The sequence below is a fragment of the Homo sapiens genome, chromosome 17 (genome assembly GCF_000001405.40).
Source record: "Homo sapiens chromosome 17, GRCh38.p14 Primary Assembly".
Taxonomy (NCBI): domain Eukaryota; kingdom Metazoa; phylum Chordata; class Mammalia; order Primates; family Hominidae; genus Homo; species Homo sapiens.
The window spans coordinates 29843629-29869666 of NC_000017.11; the positions used below are offsets into that span (position 1 = coordinate 29843629).

The following is a 26038-nucleotide window of genomic DNA, read 5'->3' on the forward strand; positions in this document are numbered from 1 at the left end:
TGTTTTCATCGTTCCAATACACTACATTCCAAAACTTAAAACATACAAGAACAGGATATCTCAGAAGAACCCTGAGAATTGAAGTCCTTTCTATCTTCAATCTATAAGGACTGGCTACTCCACATCAGGCCTTGAATTAGGGTTTACCCTAATGTTGATAACTTTTAAAAATTCTTAAATCCTTCATCTTGAACTTACTATTAGGCTAAATCTTCTCTCTCTCTCAAGCCATTTTTCCACTCCCCAAATGACTCCATGTTAAAAATCCCATAGAAGCTGATTATCAACAAGGATATTGTATTCTGAGACACTGTCCTTCCCTAGAAGAGAATGCAGATCTATAGTCTAAAAATGTAAAAATATTCTAAACCAAATAATTCTTACATTTTAGACTTTCTTTGCATCTGCCTTTTCCACATTTGATTCTAGGGGGTGGCTTTTTCTTTTCTTTAATAACACAAAAGGCTAACATCTCTTCCTTTCACTGGGCTATTCAAACATAAAAGCTTTTTTCTGATTGCACAGAATATAATATTATATCCTTCAAGAATATAACAAACCAAGCAAAGGAATGAAACAGACCATAAAAATAGTATGACTATTCTATATATGACCTTCTGCCTGTTTGGTTGGGTAGGGGTTGGGGTGAGAAGACCAGGGAAATGAGATAAATAAGTTTTATTTTTAGGAAATAAACTAATATAACAAATATTTTCCTGACCACCAGGCTGGGGAAGAAATAGCCCTACAATGGTAAATGAATCCAGTTGTTCCTAGGAGACCACCCATAAGCACAATAATTGGAATCCCAGCTCATCCAGAGCTTCTTCCTCCTTTTAGGTAGGATAGCAGTGGGTACAGGAGAGGGAAATGAAGAGAAGCCTCAGGAGTCTCAGTGCCTGTTGCAGTCACTAGCATCCCAACCTGCTCTAGTCACTGCCTACATTCCTTCTTATCTGAAGCCAAGGTGAAACTCCTGCAGCTAAAGCCAGTATCTTCTTTCTCTGTGACTTCTTCCAGTCACACTGTTACCTTTCTCTGGGGGCAGACAGATCCTCTCCCCATTATGGAGACCTCTAACAAACCTGTGCACAGTAGAGGGAGCAAGTAGCTGCTTCTATCTATTATCTGGTTTCCTGGAGACTGAGTGGGATCAGAAAAGGGGCAGGGGCCTCTCTGCACTCCTGCCTTCTCTTCCAGGAAAGCCCCAAGAGATCTAAGGCAGCCAGCCCTCCAGCCAAATTGGCCTCCAGCCAAATTTATTTCCACTTATCCAGATTTCTTCTCTTCTTCCCACATACTGCATGTAATGATTTTCTCCTTTCCTTTTCAGGGCTTTCCACGAATAGCCATAAAACTAATTTGTGAAGTGTAGATTATACTTTCTCTAAGGGCCCCTACTCCCCTGGGCCCAGTGATTTGCACATGAGTCAATCAATACTTGGTGAATGAATGAATTATGCAGAAGCAAATGAATGAATAAAACTAACCAAAGTTCATACTTCTGTTATCCCAAAATTGAAGAGAAAGTTCTTCGACGATTGACTTTATCTTCTACTCTTCTTCTTTACATCAGTATTTCTACTTCAAATACTTATCAAGATCCCATACCACTTCCTTTGCAGAAAACTAAGTAATGGAGATTTCAATCATTTTGCTCTGCAAATAACTGCCCCCCACCCCACCCCCAAGGTTAAGGCTTCAAATTACAAAGAAGCTCTTCAATTCCATTTGACATGGGGGTGGGAACAGGGAAGTGAGAAAAGGGGGAAAAAAAGGTGTGGGAAATACTCCCTGAAAAAACAAAACAGGAGGAGGATCTAACACCTTTAAAAAGCCAGCCAAGTACATGAAACAACTTTTGCCTCTTGAGGAAAAGACGACAACAAATCTGACTTAAATGAATGAAAGGCTTGGCAATAAAATAAAGCAACCCAGAGTAATCTATAAATACATATACCCAACTAATTGTTTCTCTTTATTTTTTTTGGAGACAGAGTCTGACTCTGCTGTCCAGGCTGGAGTGCAATGGCATATCCTTCCGCCTTAGCCTCCCAAGTAGCTAGGACTACAAGTATGTGCCACCATGCCCGGCTAATTGTTTTATTTTCTGTAGAGACAGGGTCTCGCTGTATTTCCCAGGCTGCTCTTGAACTCCTGGGCTCAAGTGATCCTTTTGCCTTGGCCTCCGAAAGTGTTGGGATTACAGGCATGACCCACCGTGCCTGGCCCCAACTAATTGTTTCTAAGGGAGAAAAACCATTAAAACTAAAGTTACCTTTTCCCCACGCGTCCAACTTCATGAAAATATTCTTCATGTAGATTCCCATGCACTAGTCTCTTTGAGACAAAATCAGTCGAAATAATATGCCAGTATAATAAGTCCAGAGGACTCCACTGCAAACTGAACAATTTTTTTTTTTTTTTTGAGATGGAGTCTTGCTCTGTTGCCCAGGCTGGAGTGCAGTGGTGCAATCTTGGCTCACTGCAACCTCCACCTTCTGGGTTCAAGCAATTCTCCTGCCTTGGCCTCCCAAGTAGCTGGGACTACAGGCATGCACCACCACGCCAGACTTTTGTATTTTTAGTAGAGACGGGGTTTCACCATGTTGGCCAGGCTTTCTCAAACACTTGACCTCAAGTGATCTGCACACCTCAGCCTCCCAAAGAGCTGGGATTACAGGCATGAGCCACTGTGCCCAGTCTGAACAAAATAAATCTTATAGGATACCATATAAGGAGACTGGTACATATTCCATCAATGAGGTTGCCCACTGGTGATGAGCTCATGATGGCTATCAGCTGAGATTTCATGTCAGCACTGCTCCTGCTTATCACACAACACTGGACAAAGATTATAACCTTTCACCCTCAGTTTGTCATCTGCAAAATACTGATAATAAGTGTTCACATGGATTTATCAGTTAACGTTTGCAAGCACTAGGAAAATGAGCACCACTCCAGCTATTAATGAATCACAATAACTTAACTCATGCCATTCCAGATTCATCAACACTGAATGAAATGCAGTTGTGTAAATAAATACGTGAATGAGGTCCTGAAATGGTAACTGCATTCACTGTGACATGAAGATGAGGAAGCCAGCCTAAGTGCAGGTAGTAATATGGTGATATACTTGAGACACATCTTACTTCAAGAGATAGTTTACATTAGTGAAACTTCAACAATATGTATGGAGTGCTACTATGAGCAATAAATATCCTGATACAGACAATTCATTTTTTATGGTCAAGGTTTGTAGAACCTAGTTTTGGTGACAGCTACCTGTTGGAAGAGATCAAGTCAAGTAAAATTATAGAAAACAATCAAATCTGTAAAAAACAATACAGTTTTGAAATGTGTTATGATTCGGTTTATATAAACTCTACTTTTTAAAATTTGTGAAGTAGGATTCATTCTATACCAAGACACAGAAAAAAAATGTCCAAGTGGGAAAAAGGTTTGCTATGTTTCTAAACTTCAGTTTGATACAAGGCCATCTTGAACCTCTCATAAAATAGGGGGGAAAAATTCCAAGAGCGGCCCAGTCTCCTATGGGTATAACAGTCCAAAAATATGCTTGAATAAAGTCTTTCCTCACAGTGCCATCCCTAATCTGCACAAGCTTCACAGTAAAGGGCAGTACACCTTAAAAAAAATCAGGTTGTCACCAAGTCTTCAACTTAGAGCCAGTGAGAAGCAAATAGATAAAAATGTCAGGCATCTGGGCTGAAAGGTGAAGCAGAGGGCAGAGACCAGGGCCTCTCACAAAGAGCTGGTCCTCTCTATTTCTAATTTTCATTAATACAACTGGGACGGTGTCTGCATTTTTGTAGCCGACCCCCTCAGGTTTTTTTGAGGGAGGGTGGTGCTCAATAGGAGACAGTTATCTAAATGACAGTTGGAGAGCTCATTAGTTTTCCTGACCCACAACTCTTCCCTTCACTTCCCTCCAGAATACTTCCAACACCCCTTTAAGGTAGAACAATGTGTATGAACTAATAAGGCAAGAGTCCAGCAGGACTTGTTTTCTGGTCACAACACTGCTGAACAAAGTAGGATCTGTTCCAGATGGGATAAAGCAAAGAAACTGGCCAAAACCAGCAGACTGTGACAAGGGCAATCCCTGGCTGCCCTCATTGCTCATTAGCATGGACACTCCCACCAGCATCATGACAGTTTACAAATGCCATGGCAATGACCCAGAAGTTACTGCCCCTTTCCTAGAAAGTTCTAAATAACCCACCCCTCAATTTGCATTAACCTGCCCCTTAATTTACATGTAATTGAAAGTGGGTATAAGCGAGTATATATACAGTTGCCAAGAGCCCACACGTTGCAGACTCTGGGTACACTATCTATGAGTTAGTGCTGTTCCACAAGGAGCAGTACTGTTCAATAAAAGATTGCTGTCTAACACCACAGGTTTGCCCTTGATTTCTTTCCTGGTGAAACTAAGAACCCTCCTGGGCTAAGCCCCAGTTTGGGGGATTATCTGTCCTGCATCACTACTAGGCCATTCAATACTCAGGGGGAAGTTCACTTATATCTCAGGATATACTGAGAATTTCCACTGCTCATTGCAACACACAAAAATAAGTCAATTTAAGTTGTTCTCTAACTTCAGCCTGACTCTTGTGGGTAAGTAAGCAGGAGGTCAGATGGGATAAGTAAAATTTATAACATCCCATGAAATGTAGTTAGATAAAGTTCTACATTTAAGATGATCAGGTCGGGTTTCCAGTCCAGTGATTATAACACTATTTGGCTTAACATTATCAATAGCTAAGACATGTGAGGCCCATGTACGTGAGGAATAAAGGCCCTGTGGCAGCACCAATACCAAGCAGTTGCCACAGGGAAAAGAATAATACTATTGACCATTAAAAAAATGTGTGCATGAGGGGAAAAAAATCCCACAAAAAGAGTCACACTCTTTATTGAAGGAGACTCACTCAAGGTTCCAAGATGCCACATTTTTTCTACTTTGATAAATAACTTTTGAGTGGTCATTGCCATGGCATTATGCATATAAATGTACCATACTGTTTATATATACACTCATTCTAAGCCACCTATTTGCCTTCCCAGACATTTGGCTGAATGGGGTCAAATAGATAAAATAATAGGCACTATATCAGTTGCATTTAATAGCCAAATTTACCCAATAAGATTTTACTTGAATCACCAAAGTCTGTATAAAAACATATACCTACGTACATTGGAATCAGTAAAGATTTCTGATTCTTCACATTCACAGCAAAGTAATGCTGCTGATTCACTGTCTTCCAAATGAGAGCTCTGTAATACAAACAAGATCATTTCAGAGATCCAAACGAATGGGCCCATAAGCACGAGGGGAAAAGCAAGCTGAAATCACTGAGTCAGTGGTGTTAGCTCACAGGTGAGAAGCTGCAATTCTGATTAGTGATGGCTATTTTGAGAGAACACTGCCAACAAGGTGACTGGTTAGTTGATTGAGGAATGCTTGATCAACTGAAGCATTTCCTATGGTTTCCCGATTTGGGGAAAGAGCCAGCACATCTTTTTCTGTAAAGATGGTGCTGCTAGCCGGGCACAGTGGCTCACGCCTGTAATCCCAGCACTTTGGGAGGCGGAGGCAGGAGGATCACAAGGTCAGGAGATCGAGACTATCCCAGCTAACACAGTGAAACCTGGTCTCTACTAAAAATAGAAAAAATTAGCCGGGTGTGGTGGCCGGTGCCTGTAGTCCCAGCTACTCGGGAGGCTGAGGCAGGAGAATGGCGTGAACCCGGAAGGCTGAGCTTGCAGTGAGCCGAGATCGCGCCACTGTACTCCAGCCTGGGCGACAGAGCGAGACTCCGTCTCAAAAAAAAAAAAAAAAAAAAAAGATGGTGCTGCTAATCCTTTGTAGTATGTACTCTGAACTCTTCTCAGACTGGGGATAGATTTGTGTTCATTTATCTTCACATCCAAAGATACACATTTGATGTATTTGTTTAGAGATAGGCTATAGAATATAGCATAGGGCCTGATTACGGGATCTAACTCTTAGCCTAGCCTCATTAGCTCTCTGCTGCCAAGTGTTCATATGAGCCAAGAGACAGGCCAGGCACAGTGGCTCATGCCTGCTAATCCTAGCACTTTGGGAGGCTGAGGCAGGCAGATCACCTGAGGTTAGGAGTTTGAGACCAGCCTGGCCAACATAGTAAAACCCTGTCTGTACTACAAAAAAAAAAAAAAAAGTATATATATATATATATATATATATTAGCCGGGCATGGCAGTGTGTGCCTGTAATCCCAGCTACTAGGGAGGCTGAGGCAGGAGAATCGCATGAACCCAGGGGGCGGAGGTTTCAGTGAGCTGAGATCACGCCATTGCACTCCAGCCTGGGTGACAGTGCAAGACTCCATCTCAAAAAAAAAAAAAAAAAAAAAGAGCCAGGAGACATGCCCTACCCAAGTCCCCCAACAGGCACCAGAAAACAATTTAAAACCTTTTCTTCTGTTCTCTAATCTCTTTCTAAAAATCTGTCTAGAAGACAGACAAGGAAAATAAGACAAAGGAGTGAAATAATTAGCTGGTAACATAGGAGTATTTTTCCCTATGACTAACAACTCAAAAAAGGGAACAGAAAAGGCTCCAACTCTGACTCATTAGATTCTATTCAAATGTTTGCTGTTTAGCTAACAGCAGCTGGAAACTGAGTTATCCCTACATGGATCATTGATGCATAAGCTTACGTCATTAAAACTTCTCACTACCAGTGGCTGAAACTTATAACTACTTCATGGCTATCCTAGTTGATTCCTACTTTAATTTTTCACAGGTAGGGCTGTGTTTCATCTAAAGTATACCCTCAGAGATAAGAGTTTTAGAGTGCAAATAAACTTAAAGAAAGTAAAGCTCAGAGTTACTCTTTCTGATAACAGCCTTGCTCCTGGTTTACTTCCTTCTCATTTTTTTTCTACTCTGACCCTTTGTCTACTTTTAGTTTTCTGTCTTAAAACCAAGTCTCATCTGGCATTGTCCCTCTCTCTTCCTCTTTTAGAAAATAATCAGAAATAACCAAATATTTAAAATCATTGTTGCCCGAGCGTGGTGGCTCACGCCTATAATCCCAGCACTTTGGGAGGCCGAGGCGGGTGGATCACGAGGTCAGGAGATCAAGACCATCCTGACTAACATGGTGAAACCCCGTCTCTACTAAAAATGCAAAAAATTAGCCGGGTGTGGTGGCGGGCGCCTGCAGTCCCACCTACTCGGGAGGTTGAGGCAGGAGAATGGCGTGAACCTGGGAGGTGGAGGTTGCAGTGAGCCGAGATCGCGCCACTGCACTCCAGCCTGGGCTACAGAGCGAGACTCCATCTCAAAAAAGAAACAAACAAACAAAAATTATTGCTAAAAATCCTACAAATGTAAAGTCTTTTTAATTCTTGTTCTCTTATATTTTGGAGGGGGGAGAATAAGAACATTTACTCTCCATCTAGCTTAAAAAATATATAAAATATTTGAAGACTTCTGGAACTCGTATTAGGAAAGCTAAAGGCTTAATAATAAATATTTGAAAGAATTAAAATGGTAGAGATCAGAGCTGTTTTCAATCTTCCCAAGCTCTCATACTACAACAGATAATAATATAGATAATACTAAGCACATCAAAAGTGGCTTGTCATTGTCACAGTATAAAAACTAGAGAGAGGCTGGGCACGGTGGCTCACACCTGTAATCCCAACACTTTGGGAGGCGGGTGGATCACCTGAGGTCAGGAGTTCAAGACCGGCCTGGCCAATGTGGTCAAATCCCGTCTCTACTAAAAATACAAAAAATTAGCTGGGCATGGTGGCGGGCACCTGTAATCCCAGCTACCCTGGAGGCTGAGGCAGGAGAATCGCTTGAACCCAGGTGGTGGAGGTTACAGTGAGCCAAGATCATGGCCATAGCACTCCAGCCTGGGCAATAAGAGCGAAACGCCATCTCAAAAAAAATTAATAATAATAATAATAATGATAAAAACTGGAGAGAGCTTGAGCCCAGGAGTTGGAAACCTGCCTGGGCAACATAGTAAGACCCCATCTTCATGACAAAAAAAAAATAATAATAATCAGCCAAGTATGGTGGCACACCTCTGTAGGCCTGGCTAGTTGGGAGGCCGAGGTGGGAGGATAACTTGAGTTTAGGAGTTCGAGGCTTCAAGTGAGCCATAATTGTGCCACTGCCATCTGGCCTGGGCAACAGAGCTAGATCCTGTGTCCAAAAACAAAACAAAACAGACCTGAAGAGAGAAAAGTAAAAATTAAACCAAATTACACTAGTTAAGATGTTGCAGCTTTCATTCTTATAAATATTTCAGATGTCCACACTAGCTCTTTCAAAATGACCTTTCGGCTGGGCACGGTGGCTCATGCCTGTAATCCCAGCACTTTGGGAGGCCAAGGTGGGTGGACCACCTGAGGTCAGGAGTTCGAGACCAGCCTGCCCAACATGGTGAAAACCCGTCTCTACTAAAAATACAAAAATTAGCCAGGTGTGGTGGTGCTCAATCGTAATCCCAGCTACTGGGGAGGCTGAGACAGAAGAATCACTTCAACCCGGGAGATGAAGGTTGCAGTGAGCCAAGATCACGCCACCAGAATGGGTGACAGAGTGACACTCTGTCTCAAAGAAAAAAAAAATGACCTTTCAAGAAAGAGGTCCTGTAACCACACTTGCATTCCTAAAGTTATTTTAAGACTTTATATATATATTCATCAATTGAAACAATTCATTAAGATACAAGGTATCCATTAAAGTGGGCTGATGGCATTACAACATAATTGGTTCATGGAACAATTGTTTACTTGCAACCAACATATTTAGTTCTAAATTAAATTCTGAGAAACCTAAAGGAAGACAAAGGACAAAGGTCAAGTTCATTTCCCTGCCTTCTGAAACCTGGTAATTTTTTTTTTTTTTTGAGACGGAGTCCCGTTCTGTCATCCAGGCTGGAGTACAGTGGCGCAATCTTTGCTCTCTGCAACCTCCGCCTCCTGGGTTCAAGCAATTCTCCTGCCTCAGCCTCCCGAGTAGCTGGGACTACAGGCGCGTGCCACCACGCCGGCTAATTTTTTGTATTTTTAGTAGAGATGGGGTTTCATGGTGTTAGCCAGGATGGTCTCTATCTCCTCACCTCGTGATCCACCCACCTCGGCCTCCCAAAGTGCTGGGATTATAGGCGTGAGCCACCATGCCCAGCCAAGACCTGGTAATTCTAATTCCTGAATTGTTTCCGGGTTCTGCAGAGTGAACAGTCTTTCTCATGAGTATATGGCTTATTCCAAGATTGCAAGGACGAATTAATATTTAGGACCTCTACTAAACTACACAATTATTTAAATAGATGCTAAAAAGCGTTTGACAAAATAGTCATTTCTGGTTTCAAACATTTTTAGTAAGCTAGGAATACAAAATGCAGCCTTAATTCACTGCAGAGATTTTTTTTTTTTTTTTTTTCCAGAGTCTCACTCTCTGTTGCCCAGGCGGGAGTGCAGTGGCGCGATCTCTGCTCACTGCAGCCTATGCCTCCCGGGTTCAAGTGATTCTCCTGCCTCAGCCTCCCGAGTAGCTGGGACTACAGGTGCACACCACAACGACCGGCTAATTTTTTTATTTTTAGTAGAGACAGGGTTTCACCATGTTGACAAGGATGGTCTCCATCTCCTGACCTTGTGATCTGCCCACCTCGGCCTCCCAAAGTGCTGGGATTACAGGCATGAGCCACCGCGCGCGGCCTAGGTGGGCTTAATTATACATAGCAACTCTCAGTGGTAGGCCTTTACCTCAACCTTGTTGCCTGAATTTCATATTGTAAATTCCCTCAATGTTTCTTCTAGCATGAAGGTGGTGATCTTCCCCAGTTTGTAGTGCAGATACCAATTCTCTTTTCTTTATTTTCTTCTTTTGCATGTCCCTTTGGCAGGAATTTTGAGGAGGGCAAAGTCAAACTCATATTCTTGCATTGGATGTATCAAGCCCAAATCTTAACTAAACTGAGTTCATATCCTGGTTCTGCCACCTACTAGCAGTGTGATTTTGAGCACATTCCTTAATTTCTTTGAGCTCAGTTTCCTCATCCATAAAAATGGACACAACAATAACATCGATCTATTAGGGTTGTTGGAAAGACTGTATGAGAGATAACATAAGAAAAGCATTTAGAGACTTAGAGCCAGGTGTGGTAACATGTGCCTGTAGTTCTAGATACTCAGCCGCTCTAGAGGCTGATGAGGGAGGACTTGAGCCTGGGAGTTCAAGTCCAGCCTGCACAACATAGCAAGATAGGTGTCTCTACCAAAAAAAAAAGTAATTAAAAAAAGCACTTAGAATAACTTAGCTTCTGATGTTGCCACTATTACTGCTGCTTCTAATAATAATAATAAATATTACTGTAATAATATTAATCTCCTTCCTAGATGTAAAAGGCTTATACATTTGGGTTAAAATTTTCTTTCAAAGAAACTTTTGTCTTCAAGGGAAATTTTGCTTATATCAAGTCTTAAGTGCTTTTCATTCTTAAAGACAAAATCATATTCCCTACATAACCTGGAAGCAACTGAGCTCACAATGAGTCATTCATTGCCATTTATTGTACCCCTACTGCGTATTAAGCACTTTTCTGGGTGCTGAATTATTAGTAGCTAAGGTAAAACACCAAACAAAAAGGGAAAGGTAACTGAACAGGTTACAAAAACAGTTTTTTGCTTTTTATGGGGACGCAAAAACTACAAAGATAAGATATGACTTGGGGAAACATGTCCCTTTAGCTAAGTATTGTGTGGAGAAAAACAGGGGTTAAGATTGTTGGTAAGAAAAACATCTGCACCATAACAAGAAGTTTCAATCCAGAACAGCTTCTAAGGAACAATTATAGTAATAAAATGTTGCAATTTTTATATGGACTGTATGATGCAAGAACTCATGTACTAAGAAGGAGGTTTTCAAGAGTGTAAAATCTAACTTGTTCAGTTACCCAACAATTTACAAGCAGAAGTCTTAAGAAATAATCCCACAAGAGGCCGGGCACGGTGGCTCACACCTGTAATCCCAGCACTTTGGGAGGCCGAGGCGGGTGGATCACCTGAGGTCAGGAGTTCGAGACCAGCCTGGCCAACATGGCAAAACCCCGTCTCTACTAAAAATACAAAATTAGCTGGGTGTGGTGGCAGATGCCTGTAATCCCAGCTACTCGGGAGGCTGAGGCAGGGGAATCACTTGAACCCAGGAGGCAGAGGTTGCAGTGAGCCGAGATTGCGCCACTGCACTCCAGCCTGGGAGACAGAGCAAGACTCCATCTAAAAAACAAACAAACAAACAAACAACGAATAAATCCCACAAGAGTCAAAACCTGTTGCCCTGTTGTTACTGTTAAGTCTCTTTTACCCTATTCTTGTTATAGATTATATGGTTTTAAGAGGCAGAGAACATTTACTATTTCTTTCCTCTTTCCTTTTTTCCTCCATCTTTCATCCTCTCCTCTTTTTTTTTTGTATCTTTTTTTGTGGTTCTAAGTGAATACATTGCAGGTGTACTTAAAAAAGCTAGTGACTGAAAATGTACTATTAGACATAGGCTGGGCGTGGTGGCCCATGCCTGTAATCCCAACAATTTGGGAGGCTGAGGCAGGCAGATCACTGTAGCCCAGGAGTTTCAGACCAGCCTGGGCAACATTGGCAAAACTCTGTTCTCTACTAAAAATACAAAAAATTAGCTGGGCGTGGTAGCATGCACCTGTAGTCCCATCTACTCAGGGGGCTGAGGTCGGAGGATCGCCTGAGCTCAGGAAGTTGAGGCTGCAGTGAGCCGAGATCACGCCACTGCACTCCCGCCTGCACAATAAAGTGAGATCCTGCCTCAAAAAATAAAAAGAAAAATATACTATCAGACATCAAACAATAAAATATATTTATACCCCAAAGCCCAGCAACTTTGGGAGTAAGCTTTTAATCCTTTAAAGGCCAAGACATACCCTGGCACTTAGGTGTAACTGCATTGACAAAGCAATTTCATAGTCTGTGTCTGATCCAACTAAGGAAATTCTCTAAAGTCTTTGCTCAAATTATACATTTAAAAACAATTATTTCAATTCTTTCCTGTATCTACTGAGAGAATGAAGACCATTCTTGGCAATCAGACTATTGACATTCCAGAAAATGCAGACATCACTCTGAAAGGATGCACAGTTATTTTGAAGAGCCCCAGAGGAAGTTAGGGAGGGACTTCAATTACATCAATGTAGGATGCATTCTCCTTGGAAAAGAAGAGGCGCTAGGTTGACAAATGATTGGGAAATAGAAAGGAAGTGGCTACTGCTTGCACTATTTGTAATCATGTACAGAACATTATCAAGGGTGTTACACTGGGCTTCCATTACAAGATGAGGTCTGTGCATACTCCTTTCCCCATCAACTTAGTTATCCAGGAGCATGGGTCTCTTGATAAAATCCAAAATTTCTTGGGTGAAAAATACATCTGGATGGTTTAGATAAGGCCGGGTGTTGCTTATTAAGTTATCTTAAGTCCAGAAAAATGTATTAATCCTTGAAGGAAATGACATTGAGTTTGTTTCAAATTCAACTGCTTTGATTTAGCAATCCACAACAGTTAAAAACAAAGATAACAGAAAACTTTCAGATGATCTGTATGTCACTGAAAAAGGAACAGTTTAGCAGGCTGATGAATAAGATCTAAGAGTTGTCCAGCTACAGCAACAAGATACTGTATGGTTGATAAGACCTGTTTGTGATATTTTAATGATGCATTAAAATACCTCTATTACAGCTGGGCTTGGTGATGCATGCCTGTAGTCTCAGCTATGCAAGAGGCTGAGGCGAGAGGACCATTTGAGCCCAGGAGGTTGAGGCTGCAGTGAGCCGTGATCCCACCACTGCACTCCAGCTTGGGCAACAGAGTGAGACTCTGTCTCAAAAAACAAAAACAAACAAACAAAATCCCCAAAAACAATTATTTTAGTATGTAACACATATATGTGGTAAACAACTAAGAAGGTGTCAAAGAGTATTTTTAAGTCTTCCTCCATCCCCGTCCTCCCACCTACCACAACCCCATTCCTAGAAGTAATCACTATGCCAGTTCCCAAGGAATCCTTTCAGGATTATTCTGTGTACATACAAGCATTGTGTGTGTAGATGTTCTTTCTCCAAAATACACAAATGAAAGCACACTGCACCTATTTTTCTGCCCTTGCCTTTTAAACTTAGTATCTTTGTTTCACTATTTTTTAAAAACTACATAACATAAAAAATAACATAACATAAAATTTACCCATGATTCAATTACCTCCTACCGGGTCCCTCCCACAACATGTCGGAATTCAAGATTTGGGTGGGGATGCAGCCAAACCATATCATTCCACCCCTGGCCCCTCCCAAATCTCATGTCCTCACATTTCAAAACCAATCATGCCTTCCCAAGAGTCCCCCAAAGTCTTAACTCATTTCAGCATTCTACTGGTACCAATTTACTGTATTAGTCTGTTTTCACGCTGCTGACAAAGACATACCCGAAACTGGGCAATTTACATAGAAAGAGGTTTAATTGGGCTTACAGTTCCACATGGCTGGGGAAGCCTCACAATCATGGCAGAAGGCAAGGAAGAGCAAGTCACATCTTACATGGATGGCAGCAGGTAAAGAGAGAGCTTGTGTGGGGAACTCCTTTCTTTAAAACCATCAGATCTCAGGAGACTTATTCACTATCATGAGAACAGCACGGGAAAGACTTGCCTCATGATTCAGTTACCTCCCACCAGAGTTTCCCTTCTACAACACGTGGGAATTCAAGATGAGATTTGGGTGGGGACACAGTCAAACCATATCAACCATCTTAACTGATTTTTTTGAGACAGAGTCTTGCTGTCACCCAGGCTGAAGTACAGTGGCATGATCATGGCTCACTGAAGCCTGGACCTCTCAGGCTCAAGCGATCCTCCCATCTCAGCCTCCCTAGTTGCTGGGACTAAAAATTACCACACCCAGGTAATTTTTAAAATTTTTCTGTAGAGATGGGGTCTCACTATGTTTCCCAGAAAGGCTGCAAACTCCTGGGCTCAAACAATCCTCCTGCCTTGGCCTCCCAAAGTGTTGGCATAAGCCATCACACCCGGCCCCATCTTAACTATTGTTAACTGTACAGTTCAGTATATTCACACTGTTGTATAGTCAATCTCTAAAGCTTTTTCATCTCAAAAAACTGAATCTATATCCACCAAACAACTCTTCATTTCCCCCTATTCCAACCCTTAGCAACTACCACTCACTTTGTTTCTATGAGTTTTGACTTGTCTAGATAATTCATGTAAGTGGAATCATACACTGTTTGTCTTTGACTGAGTTATCTTACTTAGCATAAGGTCCTCAAGATACATGCATGTTGTAGCATGTGTCAGAATTTCCTTCCTAAGTCTGAATAATATTCTATTGCACACATATGGCATTTTGTTTATCCATTCATCTGTTAAGACATTCATTTCATTGTTTCTGATTGCTGCAAATATTTCATTGCAGAGATATCCCATGATTCAGTTAATCAGCCTCCTACTAATAGATTCAAGTTACTTACAATTAAACTCATTTTCTAATATGCTATAACAAATTACCACAAACTCGATGGCTTAAACAACATACATTTATTATTTTACAGTCTAGAGGCAAGGAGTCCTAAAATCAAACAGGTGGCAGACCTGTGTTCCTTCTGCAGGATCTAGGGGAATGTTACAGGCTAAATTGTGTCCCCTAAAATTCACATGTTTAAGTTTCAATCCCCAGTATCTCAGAATGTGGTTGTATTTGGAAACGGAGCCTTTAAAGAGTAATCAAGTTAAAATGAGGTTTAGTAACCTAGGGGTGGTTCCAATATGGGTAGGCCCTAATCCAATATAGGTGGGCCCTAATCCAATATGACTCATATTCTCATGAAAAGAGATTAGGGCCACATGTAGTGGCTCATGCCTATAATCCCAGCACTTTGAGAGGCCAAGGCAAGAGAATCACTTGAGGCCAGGAGATCGAGACCAGCCTGAGCAACATAGCAAGATGCCATCTCTACAAAAAAATAAAAACAAAATAGCTGGGCATGCCTGTCGCCCTAACTACTCGGGAGGCTGAGGCAGAAGGATTGCTTGAGCCCAGCAGTTCAAGTTTACAGTGAGCTATGATCACACCACTGCATTTTAGCCTAGATGGCAGAGCAAGACCCTGTCTCAAAAAAAAATAAATAAATAAAATAGAAAAAGAGAAGAGATTAGGACACAGATACACCCAGAGGAAAGACCATGTGAAAACAGAGGGAGAGGACAGCCTTCTACAGGCCAAGAAGGTCAGCCTCAGAAGAAATCAACACATTGCCAACACATTGATCTTTGACTTTCAGCCTCCAAAACTATGAGAAAATAAATATTTGTTATTTAAGTGATCAGTCTGTTTAAATGGCTTATACTTGTTATGGTAGCCCTAACTATTTTTAGGAGAATCAATTTCTTTGCCTTTTCTAGCATCTAGTGGCTATCTGCATTCTTTGGCTCATGGCTCCCTTCCTCTATCTTCAATATCGGTAAAGGTGGGTTGAGTTCTCTTAACGCATCAATCTGACCTCCTTTCCTGGGTTCCTCTTACACTTTTTTTTCTTTCTCTTTTTTTAACTTTTAAGTTCCTGGGTATATATGCAGGTTTGTTATATGAATAAACTCATGTCACAGGGGTTTGCTTTATAGATTATTTCATCATCCAGGTATTAAACCTAGGACTCATTAGTTATTTTTCCTGATCCCCTCCTTCTTTGCACCCTCCACTCTCTGGTAGGCCCTGGTGTCTGTGTTCCCCTCTATGTGTCCATGTGTTCTCATCATTTAGCTCCCACTTATAAGAACATGCGGTATTTGGTTTTCTGTTCCCATGTTAGTTTGCTAAGGGTAACAGCATCCAGCTCCATCCATGTTCCTGCAAAGGACATAATCTTGTTCTTTTTTATGGCTGCATAGTATTTCGTAGTGTATATGTACCACATTTTCTTTATCCAGTCTATCATCGATGGGCATTTAGGCTGATTCCATGTCTTTGCTGTTGTAAATAGGGCTGCAATGAACATACACATGCATGTGTCATTATGATGGAATGATTTATATTCCTTTGGGTATATATCCAGTAAGGGGATTGTTGGGTCGAATGGTAGCTCTGTTTTTTTGTTTTTGTTTTTTTGAGATGGAGTTTCGCTCTTGTTTTCCAGGCTGGAGTGCAATGGCACGACCTTGGCTCACTGCAACCTCCACCTCCTGAGTTCAAGCGATTCTCCTGCCTCAACCTCCTGAGTAGCTGGGATTACAGGTGCCCACCACCAAGCCCAGCTAATTTTTTGTATTTTTAGTAGAGATAGGGTTTCACCATGTTGACCAGGCTGGTTTTGAACTCCTGACCTCAGGTGATCCACCAGCCTTGGCCTCTCAAAGTGCTGGGATTATAGGCGTGAGTCAGCATGCCGGCGGTAATTCTGTTTTTAGCTCTTTGAGGAATTGCCACACTGCTTTCCACAATGGTTGAACTAATTTACACTCCCACTAACAGTGTATAAGCATTCCATTTTCTCCACAATCTCCTCAGCATTTGTTATTTTTTGACTTTTAATAATAGCCATTCTGACTGCTGTGAGATGGTATCTCACTATGGTTTTGATTTGCATTTCTCTAATGATCAGTGATGTTGAGCTTTTTTTCATATGATTGTTGGCAACATGTACTTCTTCTTTTGAAAAGCGTCTCTTCATGGCCTTTGCCCACTTTTTTTTTTTTTTTTTTTTGAGACAGAGTCTCACTCTATCACCCAGGATGGAGTACAGTGGTGCAATCTCAGCTCATTGCAACCTCTGCATCCTGGGTTCAAGCAATTCTCTTGCTTCAGCCACCGCGATTACAGGAGGGTCCCACCATGCCCAGCTAATTTTTGTATTTTTAGTATGGACAAGGTTTCGCCATGTTGGCCAGGCTAGTCATGAACTCCTGACCTCAAGTGATCCACCTGCCTCGGCCTCCCAAAGTGCTGGGATTACAGGCATGAGCTACTGTGCTCAGTCTCCTTTGCCCACTTTTTTTCTTTTTTTTTTTTGAGACAGAGTCTCGCTCTGTCCCCCAGGCTAGAGTGCAGTGGCATGATCTCAGTTCACTGCAACATACACCTCCCAGGTTCAAGCAATTCTCGTGCTTCAGCCTCCCAAGTAGCTGGGATTACAAGCGTGTGCCATGACGCCCGGCTAATTTTTGTATTTTTAGTAGAGACAGGTTTCACCATGTTGGCCAGGCCACTCTTGAACTCCTGACCTCAAGTGATCCTCCCATCTCAGCCTCCCAAAGTACTGGGATTACAGGTGTGAGCCACCGTGTCCAGCCCTTTGGCCCACTTTTAAATGGAGTTTTTTGTTTTTTTTTCTTGTATATCTGTTTAAGTTCCTTATAGATGCTGGATATCAGACCTCTGTCAGATGCATAGTTTGTAAACATTTTCTCCCATTCTACAGGTTGTCTGTTCACTCTGTTGATAGTTTCTTTTGCTGTGCAGAAGCTCTTTAGTTTAATTAGAGTCAACTAGTCAACTTTTACTTCTTTGCAATTGCTTTTGGCATCTGTGTCATAAAATCTTTGCCTGTTCCTATGTCCAGAATGGTACTGCCTAGGTTGTCTTCTAGGGTTTTTATAGTTTTGGGTGTCCCTCTTCTACTTTAACAGCCTTTGTGACTGATTATGTTGCATCCTGCCCCGATAATCCAGGGTAATCTTCCTATTTTAAAGTTATATATGATCAGCAACCTTAATTTCTCGTTTACTATGTTAAGATAACATATTTACAGGTTCACAGCTGATTAGAATGAGGACTCTACTGGAGGCCATTATTCTGCCCACCACCATAATCTTCTTCTTTTTTTTTTCTTGAGACGGTCTTGCTGTGCTGTCCAGGCTAGAGTGCAGTGGTGCGATCTCGGCTCACTGCAACCTTCCACTGCCGGGTTCAAGAGATTCTCCTGCCTTAGCCTCCCAAGTAGCTGGGACTACAGGCACCCGCCACCATGCTCGGCTTTGTATTTTTAGTAGAGATGAGGTTTCACTATGTTAGCCAGGCTGGTCTTGAACTCCTGACCTCATGATCCGCCCACCTGGGCCTCCCAAAGTGCTACAGGCATGAGCCACTGTGCCTGGCCCATAATCTTCGTCTTTGAAGGCTTTACTGGGGGGAAACAATTGTTTTCTAGAATCCAGTGTTTACACCAATAAACTGGGAAGCAAAAAATTAATTAAGTACAATGGGAAATACAACACTATAGTTATATACTTTGCACATAAAGAGGATCGCAAAAACTTAATATCAGCCACAGAATGTTTGAAATAGCTTTTTCTGGAGAGGTGATGATTTGGATTTAATCCACTCATAGTATTTTACATAGGCTTTTTTCGTGATAAATGGTACAGATTTGCAAATTGTCTAGTATTAGGGATACAATCTGTGGTTACTGAATTTAACTGAGTCAATTTGAAAATTTAAATCAGGATAAATTGACTGGTTCCTTCTTCCAGGCATCCACAGTTCCTTGTGCACACATTTTCTAACTCTTAACTCACTACTGTAATTATTGCTATACAGGTTCTTTATCCCCCTCTGGACTATGAGCTTCTCAACTTGTACTGCCAGGGCCTGGCACACAGTAAACATTCAATAAATGTTCAATGAATCAGTGACTTAGTATTAGTTGTTGCAATTCTTCCTTGTTGCTATAAAAATAACACAACTTGAAGATAAGTTATAATCTTTGTATGTAGGTATAATTAAGAGACCAACAGTCTTCACTCCCCTGAACACATGATATTTGTTCCTTAATAGTAATAGTAGCAACAGCTCCTACTGGAAGAGCCGTTACATGAAACACTGCCTCCCTTGGGCTCCAGATCAACATGGAAGCTTTAAGCCAAAAGAGCATCTTCATTTCTCAGAGCCTCTTAGCAGCTTGGCCTGTCAGTGGCTAAGAGAGTCAAGATACTCATGCCACATTACTCCCTAACTCTGGCCTGCAATTAGCCTATTTCATTTGCAAAGGTATTGCTGCTCTTCACTCATTGCACGTAACACACAACTGTGTTATGGTAAGTATCATAGGCTTGTTTCTCCTCTCACTGTGCCCTTTAGAAGGAACACATCTCTCAGTCCAAATCTCACCCATCCTTCAAAGCACCAGTCAAATCCCAGAATTTCAGGAGGCTTCAAAATGATTACTTCAGCCCCACTGAAGTAGGAGATCCCTTCTGAACCTTCCTTATGTAGGCAGGGGTTGGCAAACTATAGCCTGTGGGCCAAATGTGGCCCATGGTCTGTTTTTATACAGCCAGCAAGCTAAGAATGGCTTTTGCATTTTAAAAAGGATTGTTTTTTTTTTAAAAAAAAGGACAAAGAATGTGCAACAGAGACCATATGTGGCTTTTGGCATCTTTAGGGGAGGCCTGAAATATTTACTAACTGGTCCTTAACAACAACAACAAAAAAAGATTGCCAACTCCTGGCCTAGAGCACACAATTCAGCCTAATGATAAATTGCCCAGAACTGTTCTCTAATCTGTGCAGTCTTGTCTCCCTGTGGCTTCTGTTTCTGTTGTCTACCCAACAGTCATCTCTAACCTCTTTTACCTACCAGTCCAGTACTCAGGCTAACAATGCCAAGTACCTGCCTTTTCAGCTTAGCCTCCCTGAAGCCCAGAACAGTCATACATCTTAATACTGGTCTTCAAGGCTTGAGGACAAGTCTGCTGTGGCTTGTGGGAAAAGTTTTCCACCATGACAAAGGAGATTTGAGAAAACAAACTGCCCTTTCTATGCCTTTGGATGCAGTTATGCAGATTTGATATCTAGAGCTGTGACAGCCATTTTGTGACCTCAAAAAGAGAGGCCCAAGGACAAAAGGAAGCAAGTTAAAGATGGTAGAGCAGACAGACAGAACTCAGAACCTTGACAACTGCATTAATCACTGTATCAAGTCTATAATTGCCTTGCTCCTGGCCTTCTCATCTTAAACATTATCTCACTTTTAATATGGTATTCTGGTACTTCAAAAGAAAGAATCCTAAATCTATAAGTAGATTTTGTGTGCTTGGAGAGTAAGTCCCACATCTTCTATGTCTGCACTTCTACAGATGCACAGGGGTGTAATTGTTGGGATCCAATTATTTTACGAGTAATTACTTTGGATAAAATTTATCACCCTTAAACTTTGAAAAGATTCCTGAGTGTACAAAAGCAACTGAGGATGCCAGCTTCTATGAAAGTAACTTTGATGGACAGCTACCATAGGTAAAGCATTTCAGATTTCTTATCTCATTCAATACTAGGCTGGGCGCGGTGGCTCACGCCTGTACCCCTGCACTTTGGGAGGCCGAGGTGGGTGGATCACCTGAGGTCAGGAGTTTAAGACCAGCCTGGCCACCATGATGAAACCCCATCTCTATTAAAAATACAAAAAATTAGCTGGGCGTGATGGCAGGCGCCTGTAATCTCAGCTACTCAGGAGGCTGAGGTAGGAGAATTGCTTGAACCCAGGAGGCAGAGGTTGCAGTGAGCCAAGATTGCGCCATTGCACTCCAGCCTGGGCAACAACAGCAAAACTCCATCTAAATAAATAAATAAATAAATAAATAAATAAATAGATAGATAGATTAAAAAAATACTAAAAGAACCCAGTAAGGTTACACACTCCAAATTCATATAAATGAAGTCTAAGTGGTAGAGTAGAGATTTTAATTCAGGTCTCTTATAGATATACTCATACTTTTTCACAATATCTCTCCTTGTCTTTCTAAGTCTTCTATTGCAACTAACGGTGATAAGATTTAAAGATTTTGCTTATCATTCTTTGAATGTTCACTTGATCACATCTCAGATCCCATACAAATGCCACATTACTTGTAGTTGCAAATTCACACCCTCACACAGAGATAATCTGAATACTTACTAAAAAAAAAAAAAAAGAAACAACGCTGTCATCTCCTTGAGGTAGTTTTGTTTGTTTTTTGTTTTTGAATTTTTTCCCTTCTCTTTTTCTAATATAATCAGCTTCCCTAAAAGGGCATGTTTCTGAAATGAGAGAAAAAAATCCTCTAAGCAGTGATTCTCAGTGTGGTCTCCAGACCAGCAGAATCACCTGACAACTTGCTAGAAATGCAAATTCTTGGGCCCCACCCCTGATCTACCAAATAAAAATCTAGTGTAGTGCCCAGAAATGTGTTTTTCACAAGCCCTCCAGGTAATTCAGATATAAATTAAAGTTTCAGAGCCACTGGTCCAAAGTATTTGCTTCTGTATATAGCACTTAAATCACTGCATTAAAACTAGAATGGTGGAATCATATCACTCCTATGAAAACAGTTAAGCAGTGGGTTTCCAAATTCCAATGACTTCTCCAGGCACTGAAGAAACAGTTTCTCTACAACCAAATTGAAATAAGAGATAAATGTCTTCTCTATTATACATATTTGACTCAGATACAAAAACAGACTTAATATTCTAAAATGGTAAGTCTACAATTAAAAGAAGTGTAAAGTAATTTCTGCAACTTAAGATTGATACAGCACAACAATTAAATCACTGCAGCTGTGTGGAGAGATAACATTTATTTTAACATCAGAGCTTGGAGGGAAGAAAGAGAATCAGCAGTTTAAACTCAATTTGGAAATTAGAGATCCCCAGCAGGAAAGCTTTACAACCCAGTTTCCTATCCAGTCTATAAAATAAAGAGGGAGGACTTGGGATTCAACCTCTTCCTGGCAGATAATTTGCTGAGAGTAAAAATGCACTGTATCATTTGTCAGGGCTCTAAGGAACTTCTAACCCTAGTTTAAGGAAGAATCATGGATACCAAGAATAAATCACAAATACTCTAAAAAATCATTCCTTGAAGGGGAAGAAGACTTTGCTGACCTTAATTCCTATCACAGATTTCACTGAACCCAAATGGGGTTTGGTTTCATTAATTTAACCTATAAAAGACAGAAATAGTTGAAGCTGCAGAGAAAATAGCAATGGAACCTGAAACAAAGTCTAATTGTGATTAATTAAAAATTAGTGTCTTCTAAAGACTACCAGAAGATGAAGAACAATAAATTTACAAATATCAGAAATGAGGGAGCAGGCTGGGCATGGAGGCTCACGCCTGTTATCTCAGCACTTTGGGAGGCTGAGGCGGGCGGATTACCTGAGGTCAGGAGTTCGAGACCAGCCTGGTCAACATGGTGAAACCCTGTCTCCACTAAAAATACAAAAAATTAGCCAGGCATGGTGGTGGGTGCCTTGCAGTCCCAGCTACTCAGGAGGCTGAGGCAGGAGAATCGCTTGAACCCAGGAGGCGGAGGCTTCAGTAAGCCTAGATCGTGCCACTGTATTCCAGCCTGGGTGGCAGAGTGAAACTCCATCTCAAAAAAAAAAAAAAAAGAAAGAAAAGAAATAAGGGAGCAAAGGAGACTATATGCTGGAAGAATTTGAAACCAGTTTAGAAAAATCAATTAACTGAAAACAAGCAGTACAAAGATCATTTAGAAATTTATGTGTAGATATTGAATTATGTTTTCTCACAGAAACATTCCTAACTAATGCTTGGATTCCTAAACTAGCAACTGATAGCAAAACTACCAAAAGCAAAGTGGGGTTATCTCCAGTGAGATGCAAAAGCAGTCATTCATATGTACAAGTTATTCGGTTTACATAGAGGGCTGCTACTTGTATTTGATCAACACCTATATAGTGCAAAATGCACACCAAGTTAGGTACTATGACAGATTCTGAGAAGTAATCATCCACAAAAAACAACAAGTTAATAAACAAGTTTATACAGACAGGGAAAAGCCAAGGAGCCAGAGGTAGATGTTCACTCCTGTCTGAAAACCCATGAAAAGAACAATGAGAAAAAAATGGCAACAGCATCTCAGAACTTCTAGACCTAGAATATCAGGGCACAAAAGAGAAGCTCTTGGAGTTATGTGTCTAGTTGCTAATTAAATGGCTGAGGAGAACTGAAATGGAAATTCATAGAGAGGCTGGTTTCTCTCTCCTTAGGCAAACCAAATATTCTATTATTTTCCATTTTGGGTTAGGCTTCTGCTATTAAGTTAGCTGCTGATTTCCCTCCTGTTCTGTGTAGTTTTATTTATTTTATTTTTATTTTTAGAGACAAGGTCTCGCTCTGTTGCCCAGGCTGGAGTGCAGTAGTGCCATATCGGCTCACTTCAAACTCCATCACCAGGGCTCACACGATCCTTCCATCTCAGTCTCCTGAGTAGCTGAAACTACAGGCCATGTGCCACCACGCCCAGCTAATTTTTTGATTTTTTTTTTTTTGGTAGAAATGGGGTCTCCCTGTTGCCCAGGCTGATTTCAAACTCCTCGGCTCAAGTGATCTTCCTGCTCCCTCCCAAAGTGCTGGGATTACAGGCATAAGCCAACATATCCAGCCCTGTGTAGGAGTTTTTAAAAGATCAGTCCTGTTAACTTCATGAGGTAACAGCAGGCTGGCAAAACAAGGAGATACTGCAAGGTTAACTCTGTGTGTGCTGAAAGCATGCAATTCTTTTGACCTCCATTCACTTGTAAATCACCTTACATATTAGTTTTACAGTCTTTAAAACTGTAGCATTCTAGTTATTTATTTCTCTCCTCAGACCAATATATGAGAGCTATCTGTGGTTTAAATACAACCATCAACTTCCCCCAGCCCCTGCCACAAAAACACTTAACAAAAAAAATCTGTGTAGCTTGATTTGGGACCTGGACTATGAAAGTAAATTAGGTTTTAGAGATGCTAACGTGTGTATCAGGTAGTATGATCACTGTATGTGTGCAAAGAGGTGGAGTTCTGTTATTTCCTTACAGAATGAAGGTTTGAACAGCAAAAGGCAGATATTTTAGAGAAACTAAGCAACTTCAGAAAGGCATCTGAAGAAAAGAAGACACTGAGTAAGAAAGGAGGGAAAAGCATCCCTTGAACATTTGTCTGGGGATGTATGCCAGGAAAGAAAGACAAGTGCAGAAAGATCGCTGTTACTTAGAATGCTGAGACTACAAAGTTAGGTGTCAGATGATTGTGAAAAGAGCCTATTTCCTCGCAAGTAAAGAGCTCTATTCCTTCTTTAATAAATAAGAGAACTGAAAGATTTAGCTCTAGTATTAGAAGAGGAACCTAGATTGATATCAAGGAAGGCTAGAGATACCTAAAATTAAGAACTACCAGGCTGAACTGGGGGTAAAGTGAGTGATGGTCTTATATTTGCAATTAATTTCCTATATAGCATTCTGACCACAAGATGTCCTCACACTGTAACAAGGTCATTTTGTATTCTAATTGATTAAGTGCACTATGATGAGAGAAGCTGCCTAGAAGGAGCTAAGTGAAAGCTTGTAAACCTCAGGTATAATCTTTCAAAGAGATTCATTCCCTATTCTTTGGAGAAACAGTTATACCAATGATTAAAACTCTCTGAGAAGAATATCACCTGAATAACTCTCTAGGGCTCTTCTTCCCTGATCTAAACCCTTGACATGTACTAAAAACTCAGTTAATTTTGGGTACAGCAGAGGTAGTACCTACCCCTCAAGATCCTTGAATCCATAAAATTGTTAAAGATGAGAGAAGCCCAATTACACATTTTGTCCTAGTCTGCCTTTCTTCTCGGTCACCCACAGTTCAGTAGCCAACACCATAGGGAGGTTGCCAAGCGCCTTGGGGGAACCCTCATGGAGGCAGAAGACAAGGTGCTCACATAAAATTCAGTTCCCGGCTGGGTGCGGTGTCTCATGCCTGTAATCCTAGCAGTTTGGGAGGCCGAGGCGGGCAGATTGCCTGAACTCAGGAGTTCGAGATGAGCCTGGGCAACAAGGTGAAACCCCATCTCTACTAAAATACAAAAAATTAGCTGGGCGTGGCAGCTTGTGCCTGTAGTCCCAGCCACTTGGGAGGCTGAGGCAGGAGAATTGCTTGAACCCAGGAGGCAGAGGTTGCAGTGAGCTGAGATCGTGCCACTGCACTCCAGGCTGGTCGACAGAGCAAGACTCCACCTCAAAAAAAAAAAAAAAAACTCAGTTCCCACCAGGAAATTCTTGGAAGAAGCCCTGTCGAATATTGGTCATGGGCCTGCAGAATCCTCCCCGTTCCCTTGGATGGGGAGAAAAATTGGCAGACTTTTCAGTCCCTCTCATCCAGCATCATGGAAAATAACCTAGAAAAGTGGGACTTTATAGAATGCTAATAGAGGTAGCTCAGAGCTGATTACAGGTTGAGCAATGTCAGGAAATAAGTAAAGGGATAAGAGTAGAAGTGTTTCAAAAGATTCTAGCCATAAAATAGCAATGCCCCAGAGCCAGAGAACAGAGGAGTGAGAGTGTCTAAAAAGAGATGTTTCTCAAAGAAATGAACATTTCTCTAAACTAGTTTCCATCTTAGGAAAAGGATTTTGGAGATGAATTCAGAAATTGCTTCAACGGACAGAGATTCTAGAGAGATGGTCAATACAAGGGGTCTTACCTACTAAACCATAATTGGGAGGTGTCATGAGAACCACTGGGGTGAGAAACTCCCAAAAGCTAAAGGAGGATCTTAGTAATCTAGGGACTTCAGTAATCAAGGAATGCCTCCTACAATCAAGAGTGTTGGTTGCCCGAAATCCAAGCCAACCATAACTTAAAGAGCAGCTTGCTGGTGAGCGGAAGCTCAACTTTGAGGTAGGGCTTCAGAGATAGCCACAAGGCTGTCCCCTTGTAGTGTCCCTTGCCTAGGATGCTTTGTGTCTTTATGGAGGCCAAAGAGAAACACCTTGGGTCTCTAAGCTTTAGGCCAAAGGGAAGATTCAGGACAAGAATTTAGCCCTAACTAACAAAAGCAAGAGACTAGAGACCCAAAATAGGAGAGCATCAAGGAAGAAATGAAAGATCGGGGAACTGCCAAGTCATAGGGAAGAATTACCCTGCCCAGGGCAAGAGATTAGCAGAGA

At 41.4% G+C, this 26038-nt stretch overlaps 1 protein-coding gene and 1 pseudogene across 9 annotated transcripts in view; one reads left to right on the forward strand and one right to left on the reverse strand.

The window, feature by feature from the left end:
• The window catches only part of SSH2 (slingshot protein phosphatase 2), a 304291-nt gene that overhangs the window by 217691 nt on the left and 60562 nt on the right, over nucleotides 1–26038 (reverse strand). For 4 of the 9 annotated variants that reach the window (XM_005258058.4, NM_001282129.2, XM_017025253.3 and 1 more), the window contains one exon: nucleotides 5221–5301. The exons of the other annotated variants lie outside the window; for them this stretch is intronic. In XM_005258058.4, the coding sequence (XP_005258115.1) occupies nucleotides 5221–5301 (81 nt within the window). The remainder of the gene's footprint in view (nucleotides 1–5220; nucleotides 5302–26038) is intronic. 9 annotated transcript variants of the gene reach the window in all.
• On the forward strand, nucleotides 12107–12792 carry RPL9P30 (ribosomal protein L9 pseudogene 30; annotated as a pseudogene).